Here is a 14,770-nt window from a genome sequence, read left to right as displayed (position 1 = left end):
TTTCTTTTGGGTATACACCTAGGAGTGGGATTGCTGGATCATATGGTCACTCTATTTTTTGTTTTTTGAGGAACCTCCAAACTGTTCTCCATAATGGTTTCACTAATGCACATTCTCAACAACGGTGCACAAGGGTTCCAGTATTTGTTATTGCCTGGCTTTTGGATATAAGCTATTTTAACTGGGGTGAGATGATACCACATTATAGCTTTGATTTGTGTTTCTCAGATGATCAATGATATTGATATGTTTTGGCGGTGTCCCCATTCAAATCTGATCTTGAACTCCCATGTGTTGTGGGAGGGACCTCGTGGGAGATAATTGAATCATGGGAACAAATCTTTCCTGTGCTCTTCTCATGATAGCGAGTAAGTCTCACAAGATCTGATGGTTTTAAAAAGAGGAATTCCCCTGCACAAGCTCTCTCTCTGTCTTTGCCTGCTGCCATCCATGTAAGATGGGACTTGCTCTTCCTTGCCTTCTGCCATGATTGTGAGGCTTCCCCAGCCACATGGAACTGGAAGTCCAATTAACCCTCTTTCTTTTGTAAATTGCCCAGTCTCAGATATGTCTTTATCAGCAGGATGAAAATGGACTAATACAGTAAATTGGTATCAGCAGAGTGGGGTGCTGCTGAAAAGATCCAAAAATGTGGAAGCGACTTTTGAACTGGGTAACAGGCAGAGGTTGGAACAATTTGGAGGGCTCCGAAGAAGACAGGAAAATGTGGGAATGTTTGGAACTTCCTAGAGACTTGTTGAATGACTTTGAACAAAAGCCTGATAGCAATATGGACAATAACATCCAGGCTGAGGTGGTCTCAGATGGAAATGAGGAACTTGTTGGGAACTGGAATAAAGGTGACTCTCGTTATATTTTAGCAAAAAGATGGTGGCATTTTGCCCCTGCCCTAGAGATCTGTGGAACTTTGAACTTGAGAGAGATGATTTAGGGTATCTGGCAGAAGAAATTTTGAAGTGGCAAAGCATTCAAGGGGTGACTGGGGTGCTGTTAAAGGTATTCAGTTTTATAAGGAAAGTAGAACATTTGCAGCCTGACAATGTGATAGAAAGAAAAATCACATTTTCTGAGGAGAAATTCAAGTCAGCCAGCTGCAGAAATTTGCTTGAGTAATGAGGAGCCAAATGTTAATCCCCAAGACAATGGAGAAAATGTCTCCAGGGCATGTCAGAGACCTTTGTGGCAGCCCCTGCCATCACAGGCCTAGGAGAAAAAAGTGGTTTTGTGGGCCGGGCCCAGGGTCCCCTAACTGTGTGCAGCCTAGGGACTTGGTGCCCTGTGTCGCAGCCACTCCAGCCATGGCTGAAAGGTGCCAATGTAGAGCTCAGGCCATGGCTTCAGAAAACACAAGCCTCAAGCCTTGGCAGCTTCCATGTGGTGTTGAGCCTGTGAATGCACAGAAGTCAGGAACTGAGGTTTGGGAACCTTTGCCTAGATTTCAGAGGATTTGTGGAAATGCCTGGATGCCCAGGCAGAAGTTTGCTGTAGGGGCAGGGGCTGTGTGGAAGGGAAATGTGGGGTGGGAGCCCCCACACAGAGTGCCTACTGGGACATCACCTAGTGGAGCTTTGAGAAGAGGGCCACCTTCCTCCAGACCCCAGAATGGTAGATCCTCTGACAGCTTGCATAGTGCACTTGGAAAAGCTGCAGACACTCAGTGCCAGCCTGTGAAAGCAGCTGTAAGGGAGGCTGTACCCTGCAAAGCCACAGGGGCAGCGTTACTCAAGACCATGGGAACCCACCCTTTGCATCACTGTGACCTGGATGTGAGACATGGAGTCAAAGGAGATCATTTTGGAGCTTTAAGATTTGACTGCCCTGCTGGATTTTGGACTTGCATGGGGTCTGTAGACCCTCTGTTTTGGCCAATTTCTCCCATTTGGAATGGCTGTATTTACCCAATGCCTGTGACCCCACTGTATCTAGGAAGTAACTAACCTGCTTTTGATTTTGCAGACTCAAAAGTGGAAGGGACTTGCCTTGTCTCAGATGAGACTTCTAACTGTGGGCTTTTGAGTCAATGCCGAAATGAGTTCAGACCTTGGAGGACTGTTGGGAAGGCATAATTGGCTTTGAAATGTGAGGACATGAGATTTGGGAGGGGTCAGGGGTGGAATGATATGGTTTGGCTGTGTCCCCACCCAAACCTCATCTTGAATTCTCACATATTGTGTGAGGGACCTGGTGGGAGGTAATTGAATCATGGTGGCAAGTCTTTCCCTTGCTGTTCTTGTGTTAGTGAATATGTCTCACAAGATTTGATGGTTTTAAAAAGAGGAGTTCCCCTGCAGAAGCTCTCTTTCTTTGCCTAATGCCATCCATGTAAGAGGTGACATGCTTCTCCTTGCCTTCTGCCATGACCGTGAAGCTTCTCCAGCCACATGGAACTGTAAGTCCAATTAAACCTGTTTCTTTTGTAAATTGCCCAGTCTCGGGTATGTCTTTATCAGCAGCATGAAAATGGACTAACACAGATGTTGTGCACCTTTTCATATTTCTGTTTGCCATTTGTGTGTCTTCTTTTTAGAAAAATCTATTCAGTTTGTACCCATTTTTAATAGGATTATTAGATTTTTTCCTCTGGAGTTTTTTAAGTTTCTAACATAATCTGGTTGTTAATCTCTTGTCAGATGATAGTTTGCAAATATTTTGTGGCATTCTGTGAGTTGTCTCTTCACTTTGCTGATTGTTTCCTTTGCTGTGTAGGACCTTTTTAACTTGATGTCATCTCATTTGTCCAGTTTTGCTTTGGTTGCCTGTGCTTGTGGGGTATTACTCAAGAAATCTTTGCCTAGTCCAATGTCCTGGAGAATTTCTCCAATGTTTTCTTTTAGTAGTTTAATAGTTTAAGGTCTTAGATGTAAGTCTTTTGTCCATTTTGATTTGATTTTTGTATATGGTGAAGATAGGGCTCTAGTTTTATTCTTCTGTATATGGATATCCAACTTTCCCAGCAACACTTATTGAAGAGACTGTTCTTTCCCCAGTATGTGTTCTTGGCATCTCTGTCAAAAATGAGTTCACTGTAGATGTATGGGTTTATCTGTGGGTTCTCTATTCTGTTCCACTGATCTATGGCTGTTTTTATGTAAGTACCAAGGGCATGTACATTTTTTTTAGACATAATGTGAATGCATACTGAATTCGCCACAGCATAGTATAAACATAACTTTTATGTGCACTGGAAAACCAAAAAATTTGCATGACTTGCTAACTTTATTGCAACATTCACTTTATTGCGGTTGTCTAGAACCAAACCTGAAATATCTCCAAGGTATTCTGTATGTCGTGTTTTCATCTCATACAACTGACTCTAAGATCTCATTTGATGGTATATTAAATGGGAAGGCACAAGTGTTATATACATTATTAGGCACCAACTTATCAGAGTAACTCCTGAAAGTACCAGGAAAGCCTTTTACATTGTTACTATGTGGATAAAAAAAATTCAGCTCAAAAATATTAAGCACTAATTAATTATATGTTAGATACTTGAAATACAACATTGAATAAGACAGAAGCCCTTTTCGAGGAGCTCAAAACTGCATGGGGGCAATTGATCTCATTCTGACTAAACAGACTGAGAAGGTAAGGCTGACTTAGCCATCCATTGCTTCAACTTGCTGGAAGAAAGTCTGGCATTGCAACACTTACAAAAAATACCTATGATCATATTTTCTTTTTGGAGTTGGTTAGAAAAACATATAAATCAGGCACCTGAAGTATGCACACAAACTTCTTGGGGCCATAAAAACAAGGATTTTTCTTAGTTTGCATCTAATAAAATAGAAAAGCAACCCACTTGACAGAAAGTGGGCTTCCTAAAAGCAGTGGTGGGGCCAAGCTCTGCTGTACACAGTACTTTACATTCAGAGTAACTGGGCTGTGTTGACACATTGCAATAAATAGGGCTCTGCTGTTGCTACTGCTGCCACTATCAACTGAAGGGAGAATTTCAAAGATACATTTTCCAGGACTAAGATTTTAATGACTTTTCTTAGTTTTAGTCGTTCACCCTAGGAAAGTACAGATACCTTCTGGAAGGACATCTGGAAGGATCATCCACTGACACTTGAATGTTACTGTGGGAATGCCAAGGATGTGTGCAAAAGTGTTTTTTTATAATCTCAAAACTGATGCATTGGTTGAAAGATGGATATTGTTAATCATTTTCCTTGATGAAGTTAATTCTTGATGTCCTATGTTTTGCTTTGTCTCAGTTCATAGTTTTTAAGGAAGGCTCTCTTGATACTCAAGGACCCTCTATTTATAATATGCATTTAGCCTCTTATATGCATGAAGAGACACAGCAATAAGGAATACATCTTAGTCACTTCATTTTAATCAATTAGTTTTTTCCATTTTCATTTTAGGGATTTAGTTGTTTTTCTGCTTTGTTGATAGAGCACAACATATTAAGAAACAAAATGGAAAAATCTTTTGAGAAAATCAGTAAGGATGGATTTAGTTCTCAAATGTATAATCAGAAAATTTGTGGAGCACTTTGATAACAATGTTACAATAATTATGGATATATGCATGTTACTAATAGCATTTAATTTACTCCACTATCCACCACCTGGAACCACCTGATCTATTTAACCTCTGAGGGGGTGTGTAGGTGGGTATTTTATGCTGTAGTGATGTACTATCAGGAAAAAAATGGGAAAGACAAAAAGGGTCACTTGGGATAGGACTCGAGTAGAATGAGCTGGAAAATCTTTAAGGAAAGTTGATAGGCAACTTTGATGGGAGGAAAGTAGATTGCTTAGAGAAGGACTTTATGTAGTGTTCAGGCTTATACATTCCTTGTATGCTATTTGGAAGATTGCACATTTAAAATTTGAGTAATTTTGAAATTATTTGTTTCTGGATTGAGTTCCCTCAATTATAGCACCATTCCAAGAGGCTAGAGGATTACATTAATAACAGCTTGACTGAGTCATCTATCTGAAGATAACATGGCTTAGTTTTTTAGTTTAATATCTTTTGTGTGTATTTCACCTGATAACATTTTTCTTTAATTTTTGTGGCATGCCTTAGGTGAGTTCCTTAGAAACAGAGCCTGACTAACCAGGGATTCAGGTGCACTTGATTTATGAAAGGAGTGCTCTTTGGGAAAAGTTCTAAGAAAGGGAGTGGGCCGGGCACGGTGGCTCATGCCTGTAATCCCAGCACTTTGGGAGGCCAAGGCAGGCGGATCAACTGAGGTCAGGAGTTCAAGAGCAATTTGGCCAACATGGCAAAACCCCGTTCTGTACTAAAAATACAAAAAAATTAGCCAGGCATGGTGGTGCGCACCTGTAGTCCCGGCTCCTTGGGAGTCTGAGAATCGCTTGAACTCAGGAGGCAGAGGTTGTGGTGTGTCGAGATCATGCCAGTGCACTTCAGCCTGGGTGACAGAAAGAGACTCTGTCTTAAAAAAAAAAAAAAAGAAGAAGAAGAAAAAGAAAAAAGAAAAGAAAGGGAGTGAAGCCGAGTAAGGAAGAAGAAAGAGGCAATTGAAAATGTGGTCTTAGATCAATCAAGTCTAGTCTTGGTCTGATGCAGGGAGGCTCTTGAGTCTAAACTACACTGCAAGGGCATTCTGCTATATTATAAGGGTGCTGAATATCCTTCCTGGGTGGAGTGGCTTCCAGTAACCCAGGGACATTTTCTGGAGGAAGGGTGCAGCTGTGAACTCTTAGCTGCCAACACTTGCAGCAGCCAAGGGATGGGTGGGTACATCAGATCCACCCATCTGGATAAAAAGGTAACCTGGTGTTATGCTGAAGCAGGATTTGGACTTAGAAAAGCTGGCTCAGAGCTCAGAGCTGGCTCTTCATGCTGCAGATAAGGTTGGCATCTTTGTTAAGCAATTTGAAGAGGCATAATATTTCTTTCTTATGCCAGTTAGACCACATGATATCTGTAGTCCTTAACAAGGACCTTTAACACTTAGGGCATCAGCTTTATTTTAGGACACTCTATACTACTCATGCTACCATTACCGTCTATCATTCTTTCTCTCATCCATACCCAAGTCTTTTTTTTTCTTTTGAGATGGAGTCTCACTCTGCCGCCCCAGCTGGAGTGCAGTGGCGGCATGATCTTGACTCACCGCAACCCCTTCACCTCCTGGGTTCAAGCAATTCTCCTGCTTCAGCCTCTCGAGTAGCTGGGATTACAGGCATGCGCCATCATGCCCAGCTAATTTTTTTTTTGTATTTTTAGTAGAGATAGGGTTTCACCATGTTAGCTAGGCTGGTCTTGAATTCCTGACCTCAAATGATCCACCCGCCTTGACCTCCCAAAATGTTAGAATTACAGGCGTGAGCTACTGCGCCCAGCCTATTTTAAGGCACTCTATACTTCACACTCTTACCATTACCATCTACCAAGATTCTTTGATTCCCTAAATCCACCATCCTTTCTCTCATCCACACTCTTGTCTTTCTTGATCCTTACTGATACCTTCATTTGACTGTTTCCTGTCATTCTTCTTAACATAGATTAGACATTTCCTGCTGGAGGCCTTTCTTGATGATGTGAATTAGGTATTTCATTTCAGCCACATAGGCACTTTGTACTGCTTTTCAAAGTACTTTGTAGTATGTATTTTAATTGATGTTTGGCTTCCTCATCTATTCATCCCAGCAGACTACAAACTCTATGAGGGCAGACATTATTATTGTATTCACTATTGTATTTCTGTACCTCGCATATAGTGAATACACACATCACGGATTTATATGTGAATATATAGAGATTAAATTGAAGGATCTCTGAAATTTAAGTTTTTATGAGAATAGAGGTTTTACATTTCTGTTAAAATGTATAATAATATAAACTATAGATTAACTTACCCACCAAAAATAGAACTTTCTAAGTTAAACGTAAGTTTTGCCAGTGTCAGGAAAGAGCTAGATAGTGAATCCCAATGGATGGCTGCAGATTTCTGAGAAGGGTGGCTGTGGAATTATTAAAAGCGTTATCCAGAGTACACGAAACACTGTCTAGATTGCCAGTATGTCTTCTACACAATAGTAAATCTAATTTTCTAATCTGTATAGCTGCTGTCATGCCTAATAACAAGCAAATTCATATGAAAGCATATCTGCAGTAAAGATAACATTTATCCTTATGCAAACTCCCAGAGAAAATTAAAAGTGCAAGTATAACTGGGGAGGGGTGTAATAGAGGGTTATACAATTTTTATCTTTGTAAAGAAGCTATTCAGGAAAAGGTTGGAAAGTGCTTGCTTAGAGCAAAAACTACTCCATCAGGACAGACCTGGATACAGGTACTAGTACTGTGAGATGAGGAAGGGCATGTGCTTTGGGGTCAGAAAGATTTGGGTTTAGTACCGGCTCTGTTACAGCCAGGGTTACCAGAGGTGATACCATCACCATCCTCATTCCTCAGGTTTTTCATTTGTAATACTTTCAACCTCAAAGTTTCTTGTGGAGAGTCATTGAGAGCCTGTATGTGATAGACTGAGCACAGTGCCTAGCACACAGCAAATCCTAAATGACTTTTAGCTATGACACCACAACACATCATACTGGGAGAGCACAGGATGGGTTTGGGGGTTATTTTATCCAACAGAATTGAGAATACTGCACATCTGCATGAGAGGGAATATTGTTATATGGAAATGGTTTGAAATATTGTTATATAGAACTGGTGTGGCACTATCACAGACTCCACTCATTGATCCATGTGCCTAGGGTCAGACCTGATTTGCTATGTGCCAGCACTTTAACATACACTATTTCTAGTTTTCATGTTATATGCAAGTTAAGTACTCTTATGTCAGTTTCACATATGAGAGAAACAGGCTCAGAGACATCCAAGGATTTGCCCAGGAAAATATAGCCAATTTAGTGACAGGGCCTGATTTGGATCCAGATTTATCTAGCTGAAGGCAAATGCTGAGGTAAATTTGGAACAAAAAAATATAGGGAAAAAGGAAACCCAGGATCTTGGCACTGCATTTTTTCCCCCTTCTGCTCTGTTACCAAGCTATTAGCACTCAAAGCAAGTGTTTTTTCTCAGGAACATAGGGATGAGATGGCGGCTAATTGTAATCTAACTGAAAAGTAATTTGTTATGATTTCCCTTGACTCTAGTCTCCACAGTGATTCTACACCATTTCTTATTCCAGCTTCTCTAAGTCCTGGAGAATGAATGTGCTTTGGTTTCCTTTCAAACCATTCTATCTTCTCTGCAATTTACCCTGAACCATTAATTCATCTACTAGATATACAGCAACCATGCAAACACAGATGTCTAAGAATTGGAAGCATTGATTAAAAATTTTTTTATGGCTTTTCATTTTACATTATACAAATGATAAAGGTATTTTTTTGCAAAAGAGAAAGGGCACCATTTGTTATGGTTTGGTTCTATGTCCCCACCCAAATCTCATCTCGAATTGTAATCCCCATAATCTCCACGTGTTGAGGGAGGGACCTGGTGAGAGGTGATTGAATTATGGAGGTGATTCCCCCCATGCTGTTCTCATAATAGTGAGTGACTTTTCATGAGATCTAATGGTTTTATAAGTGTTTGACAGTTCCTCCTTCACATGCTCACTCTCTCACTTGCCACATTGTAAGATGTGTCTGCTTCCCGTTCTGCCATGATTGTAAGTTTCCTGATGCCTCCTCAGACATGTGGAACTGTGAGTCGATTAAACCTCTTTCCTTCATAAATTATCCAGTCTTGGGTATTTCTTTATAGCAGTGTGAAAATGGACTAATACACCATTGTATAAAGACTCCTTGTTATCAAAGCTTATTTTGACTGGGCATGGTGGTACATGCCTGTATTACTCTGGAGGCTGAAGTGGTAGGACTGCTTGAGCCCAGGACTTTGAGGCTATAGTGAGCTATGATTGTACCACTGGATTCCAGCCTCAGTAACAGAATGAGACCCCATCTCTTAAAAAATGCAAAAATAGTTTGAAGTCAGGTAGTGTGATTCCTCCAGCTTTGTTCTTTTGGCTTAGTATTGACTTGGCAATGCGGGCTCTTTTTTGGTTCCATATGAACTTTAAAGTAGTTTTTTCCAATTCTGTGAAGAAAGTCATTGGTAGCTTGATGGGGATGGCATTGAATCTGTAAATTACCTTGGGCAGTATGGCCATTTTCACGATATTGATTCTTCCTACCCATGAGCATGGAATGTTCTTCCATTTGTTTGTATCCTCGTTTATTTCCTTGAGCAGTGGTTTGTAGTTCTCCTTGAAGAGGTCCTTCACGTCCCTTGTAAGTTGGATTCCTAGGTATTTTATTCTCTTTGAAGCAATTGTGAATGGGAGTTCACTCATGATTTGGCTCTCTGTTTGTCTGTTGTCGGTGTATAAGAATGCTTGTGATTTTTGTACATTGATTTTGTATCCTGAGACTTTGCTAAAGTTGCTTATCAGCTTAAGGAGATTTTGGGTTGAGACAATGGGGTTTTCTAGATATACAATCATGTCGTCTGCAAACAGGGACAATTTGACTTCCTCTTTTCCTAATTGAATACCCTTTATTTCCTTCTCCTGCCTAATTGCCCTGGCCAGAACTTCCAACACTATGTTGAATAGGAGTGGTGAGAGAGGGCATCCCTGTTTTGTGCCAGTTTTCAAAGGGAATGCTTCCAGTTTTTGCCCATTCAGTATGATATTGGCTGTGGGTTTGTCATAGATAGCTCTTATTATTTTGAAATACGTCCCATCAATACCTAATTTATTGAGAGTTTTTAGCATGAAGGGTTGTTGAATTTTGTCAAAGACTTTTTCTGCATCTATTGAGATAATCATGTGGTTTTTGTCTTTGGCTCTGTTTATATGCTGGATTACATTTATTGATTTGCGTATATTGAACCAGCCTTGCATCCCAGGGATGAAGCCCACTTGATCATGGTGGATAAGCTTTTTGATGTGCTGCTGGATTCGTTTTGCCAGTATTTTATTGAGGATTTTTGCATCAATGTTCATCAAGGATATTGGTCTAAAATTCTCTTTTTTGGTTGTGTCTCTGCCCGGCTTTGGTATCAGAATGATGCTGGCCTCATAAAATGAGTTAGGGAGGATTCCCTCTTTTTCTATTGATTGGAATAGTTTCAGAAGGAATGGTACCAGTTCCTCCTCTACCGAATTCCTCTGGTAGAATTCGGCTGTGAATCCATCTGGTCCTGGACTCTTTTTGGTTGGTAAACTATTGATTATTGCCACAATTTCAGCTCCTGTTATTGGTCTATTCAGAGATTCAACTTCTTCCTGGTTAAGCATGGTACTGGTACCAAAACAGAGATATAGATCAATGGAACAGAACAGAGTCCTCAGAAATAATGCCACATACCTACAACTATCTGATCTTTGACAAACCTGAGAAAAACAAGCAATGGGGAAAGGATTCCCTATTTAATAAATGGTGCTGGGAAAACTGGCTAGCCATAAGTAGGAAGCTGAAACTGGATCCCTTCCTTACACCTTATACAAAAATCAATTCAAGATGGATTAAAGATTTAAACGTTAGACCTAAAACCATAAAAACCCTAGAAGAAAACCTAGGCATTACCATTCAGGACATAGGCATGGGCAAGGACTTCATGTCCAAAACACCAAAAGCAATGGCAACAAAAGACAAAATTGACAAATGGGATCTAATTAAACTAAAGAGCTTCTGCACAGCAAAAGAAACTACCATCAGAGTGAACAGTCAACCTACAAAATAGGAGAAAATTTTCGCAACCTACTCATCTGACAAAGGGCTAATATCCAGAATCTACAATGAACTCAAACAAATTTACAAGAAAAAAACAAACAACCCCATCAAAAAGTGGGCAAAGGACATGAACAGACACTTCTCAAAAGAAGACATTTATGCAGCCAAAAAACACATGAAAAAATGCTCACCATCACTGGCCATCAGAGAAATGCAAATCAAAACCACTATGAGATACCATCTCACACCAGTTAGAATGGCAATCATTAAAAAGTCAGGAAACAACAGGTGCTGGAGAGGATGTGGAGAAATAGGAACACTTTGACACTGTTGGTGGGACTGTAAACTAGTTCAACCATTGTGGAAGTCAGTGTGGCGATTCCTCAGGGATCTAGAACTAGAAATACCATTTGACCCAGCCATCCCATTACTGGGTATATACCCAAATGACTGTAAATCATGCTGCTATAAAGACACATGCACACGTATGTTTATTGCGGCATTATTCACAATAGCAAAGACTTGGAACCAACCCAAATGTCCAACAATGATAGACTGGATTAAGAAAATGTGGCACATATACACCATGGAATACTATGCAGCCATAAAAATGATGAGTTCATGTCCTTTGTAGGGACATGGATGAAATTGGAAATCATCATTCTCAGTAAACTCTCGCAAGAACAAAAAACCAAACACCGCACATTCTCACTCATAGGTGGGAGTTGAACAATGAGATCACATGGACACAGGAAGGGGAATATCACACTCTGGGGACTGTGGTGGGGTGGGGGGAGGGGGGAGGGATAGCATTGGGAGATATACCTAATGCTAGATGATGAGTTAGTGGGTGCAGCGCACCAGCATGGCACATGTATACATATGTAACTAACCTGCACAATGTGCACATGTACCCTAAAACTTAAAGTATAATAATAAAAAAAAAAAAGTGTGAGGCACCTTCCACCTCAATCTCTCTTCTTCCTGCTCTGGCCGTGTGAAGTGCCTGCTCCCGTTTCCGCTTCTACCATGACTGTAAGTTTCCTGACGCCTTCCCAGAAGCCAAGCAGTGTTGCCATGCTTCCTGTACAGCCTGCAGAACCATGAGCCAATTAAACCTCTTTTCTTTATAAATTAAAAAAAAATGCAAAAATAAATATAAAAATTAGCTGGGTGTGGTGGTGCATGCCTGTAGTCCTAGCTACTCTGGAGGCTGAGGTGGGAGGATTACCTAAGCCCAGAAGTTCAAGGCTGCAATATGTATCACTGCATTCCAGCCTGAACGACATAGTGAGACCTCATCTCTAAAAATGTAAAATAAAATGTAAACAAAAACTTATTTTGAATATGAAACAGTAATCTTTAATGCTTGATAATCTTATATCTCTTCCATTTTCACCTAGATTTATGCTGCTGTTAGGCAACTCTTCATGGTATGAAATATCAAAAAAAGGATATTTGGCATTAATCATTTTTAGTGGGGACTTTATTAGTTTTTAATTTATTTGTTACCATATAGTAAGGTTTTCTGACATAATTGTCTTATAAGCAGGATACATTTTACTACTCTTTTGTTGACCAACATAATATCAGAAAGTTTTAGTGCTAAAAGGAATGCTATTAATTATAAAATCTACTTTCTCAAATTGTTTTCCAGTGTTCTGGAGTCTCACTGTCTCTACTTTCTCTCTAAAATACAGAATGATTGCATGCTTACATACACTATGGAAACAGTGATTTAGGGTGAATTACAAAGGTTTCTTCTAAGTATCTACTTGGCTCATCCCCATTATGATTCCCTTAACAAGTAATACAGGATACAGCCTTTCTTAAATTCACCATGTTAATGATCCCCTCATCCCACCCCACCCCAATCTGTCTTTCATATACCATCAGGTAGGACCACTATGCTCCAAAATATGCCTTTGGAAAATGTATTTATTCAAATATCTCTGTTTGTAAATGATGAAACTAAAAGACCCCAGAGAAACTAAATAGCTCCCACTGTGAGGGCATGGACCATGCAATCTTGACTTGCATTGTTCACTGATAATCTGGGTCTGCGGATAGCAGTTAGACTACAGTGGGCTCATTCTGCAGGCTGTAAAACTCTTGGTATAACAGGAACTAATACTGAATAAGATCAAGTGTTGTTGTTGTTTTTGCTTAAAAAAAAAAAAAACCCTCCAAATGCATTACAGAAGATGAAATCAAAACAGTTGACTCCGAAAGAGGTTGGCTATATTGAAAGCAATTTGAAACAGAATGTTTACGGATTTGAGACTTTTAAGGATTTCTGAAATTGTAATTTAAAATGAGTGATGGTTTTTGATAATGGAGTTTGACCCAGCGTCTTAGATCATAAAAGCATTTTATAATCACTGACAAAAATAAAGAGGTTTTGATGCCTAGCATAAAATACGATTTTTGAGCTATCAAAAGAGTTTAATACATCTAAATGTGTTAAATGATCTAGTCGAGATTATATTATGAAAAAAAAAAGTGACACGTTTTCATATCACATTAATATAGTATTAATTATATACTAATTATATATTAATTAATTATAAGTGTTATTTTTATTTATGGAAGAGTTCTTTTATTAGGGGAGTTAACTGATTTTTAAAATCTAGTTTATTTTGAAGCCAATGGATTACACAATTGACAACATGAAATCTATTTTGGTGAAGAATTTATTGTGGTGTAGTGTAATAAAGAAATGTAGGAAAAAAGGATAAGGCTAAATTGGGAAACTACTTAACAACTGTTGTCTTTCATCATGTAATCAGGTAAGAGGAATATCCAGCAATCTGAAGAGCTCTTAGCATCTGATCATAATGGCTTTTAGGGGTGCATAACACAGCATTAAGTTAATTTTCTTTTGGTGTAAGTGATAATTATGAAAAATCTGTAGGCAGATTTTTTTTTCTCTTACTTTTATAGCTCCTTCTCCACTTCACCCCTATTCTTTTTTCCCTCCCTCTCAGCATCCTTTAAGTGTAGCTTGCCAAATAATACCTGGGTGTCTGCTAAGGAGTGGAAGAAACTGTAGTTATCTTTCCTCCCTTCTCTTTACTTAGCCATATAGTTAAATCACTGGTCATAATGACATCGTATATTTATATGGAATGTTTTAATTTGTATACTACTTTCACAAGCATTTTAATTTAATTCTTATAAAAAATGCATCTGTTAGGCAGAGCTGATGTTGTTAATCATCATTATGCATGATGAAAATGAGGACTAGGGTGATCAAATGGTTCATCCAAGTTCACAGCTAAGGAATAGCAGATTGGAATCAATGCCAGGTATACTTTTTATTTTAATAAAATGTAGAATTTATATTTTTTCTATTATAAAATGAATTCCTATTTACTATGAAATTTTTAACAAAATAAAAAATAAGAAAAGGAGAAAAACTTACTCATATCTCCAACATTCAAGGATAGTTATTATTTGGATTTTTCTGTTCAGATTTTTAATATACATCGAGATTTTAAAAATATAATTTTGGTCAACTGAACAGAAACTCATATCCTCTTTTTTTTCCTGGTTGATCTTTGCAGGTAGGCATTTAAAAATGTTATTAGGTTGGTGCAAAAGCCATTGCAGTTTATGCCATGACTTTTAGGGGCAAAAACAGCAATTACTTTTGCACCAACCTAATGCTATAAAATATTGTTACTTGAATGTTCAAAATGCAAAAGTTAAATTGCTAATTTTAACAAGAGAAGCAACATAAAAGGCAATCATTTCCAACTCCTGGGATCCATATTAATAGCCCAGATATTTAGCCTGACAACATTACAAGTCATCACATATAAATTAAACTCTATTTTTTTCCAATTTGTGTGTCAGCATGTATGACATATTATATATAAATGAGAACTGAACATACCTATTATCAGGCTGGGATTTTTTTAAAGTGTACTATATCTTTCTTTTAAAGGTTGCGATCTTTCTAGCTTTCTTTTTTTTTCTCCTTCCTTCACATCACAAATACATCAATAGGTATGTGAGTAGTACCAACATTCATTAAATATATAAATGTT

The 14,770-nt window shown here is 38.8% G+C and overlaps 1 annotated feature.

Moving 5' to 3' along the window:
* Nucleotides 809-1,309: an enhancer, noted in NCBI's record as "H3K4me1 hESC enhancer chr6:82383043-82383543 (GRCh37/hg19 assembly coordinates)". NCBI's record gives its function as "activates a minimal SCP1, AML or CMV promoter by ChIP-STARR-seq in naive H9 embryonic stem cells {active_cell/tissue: H9 hESC(naive)}" and the evidence as "EXISTENCE:reporter gene assay evidence [ECO:0000049][PMID:30033119]".

Source organism: Homo sapiens, chromosome 6 (genome assembly GCF_000001405.40).
Source record: "Homo sapiens chromosome 6, GRCh38.p14 Primary Assembly".
Lineage (NCBI taxonomy): Eukaryota > Metazoa > Chordata > Mammalia > Primates > Hominidae > Homo > Homo sapiens.
Note: the sequence above shows the minus strand (reverse complement) of the source record. Positions and strands in the feature narration are given on the sequence as shown.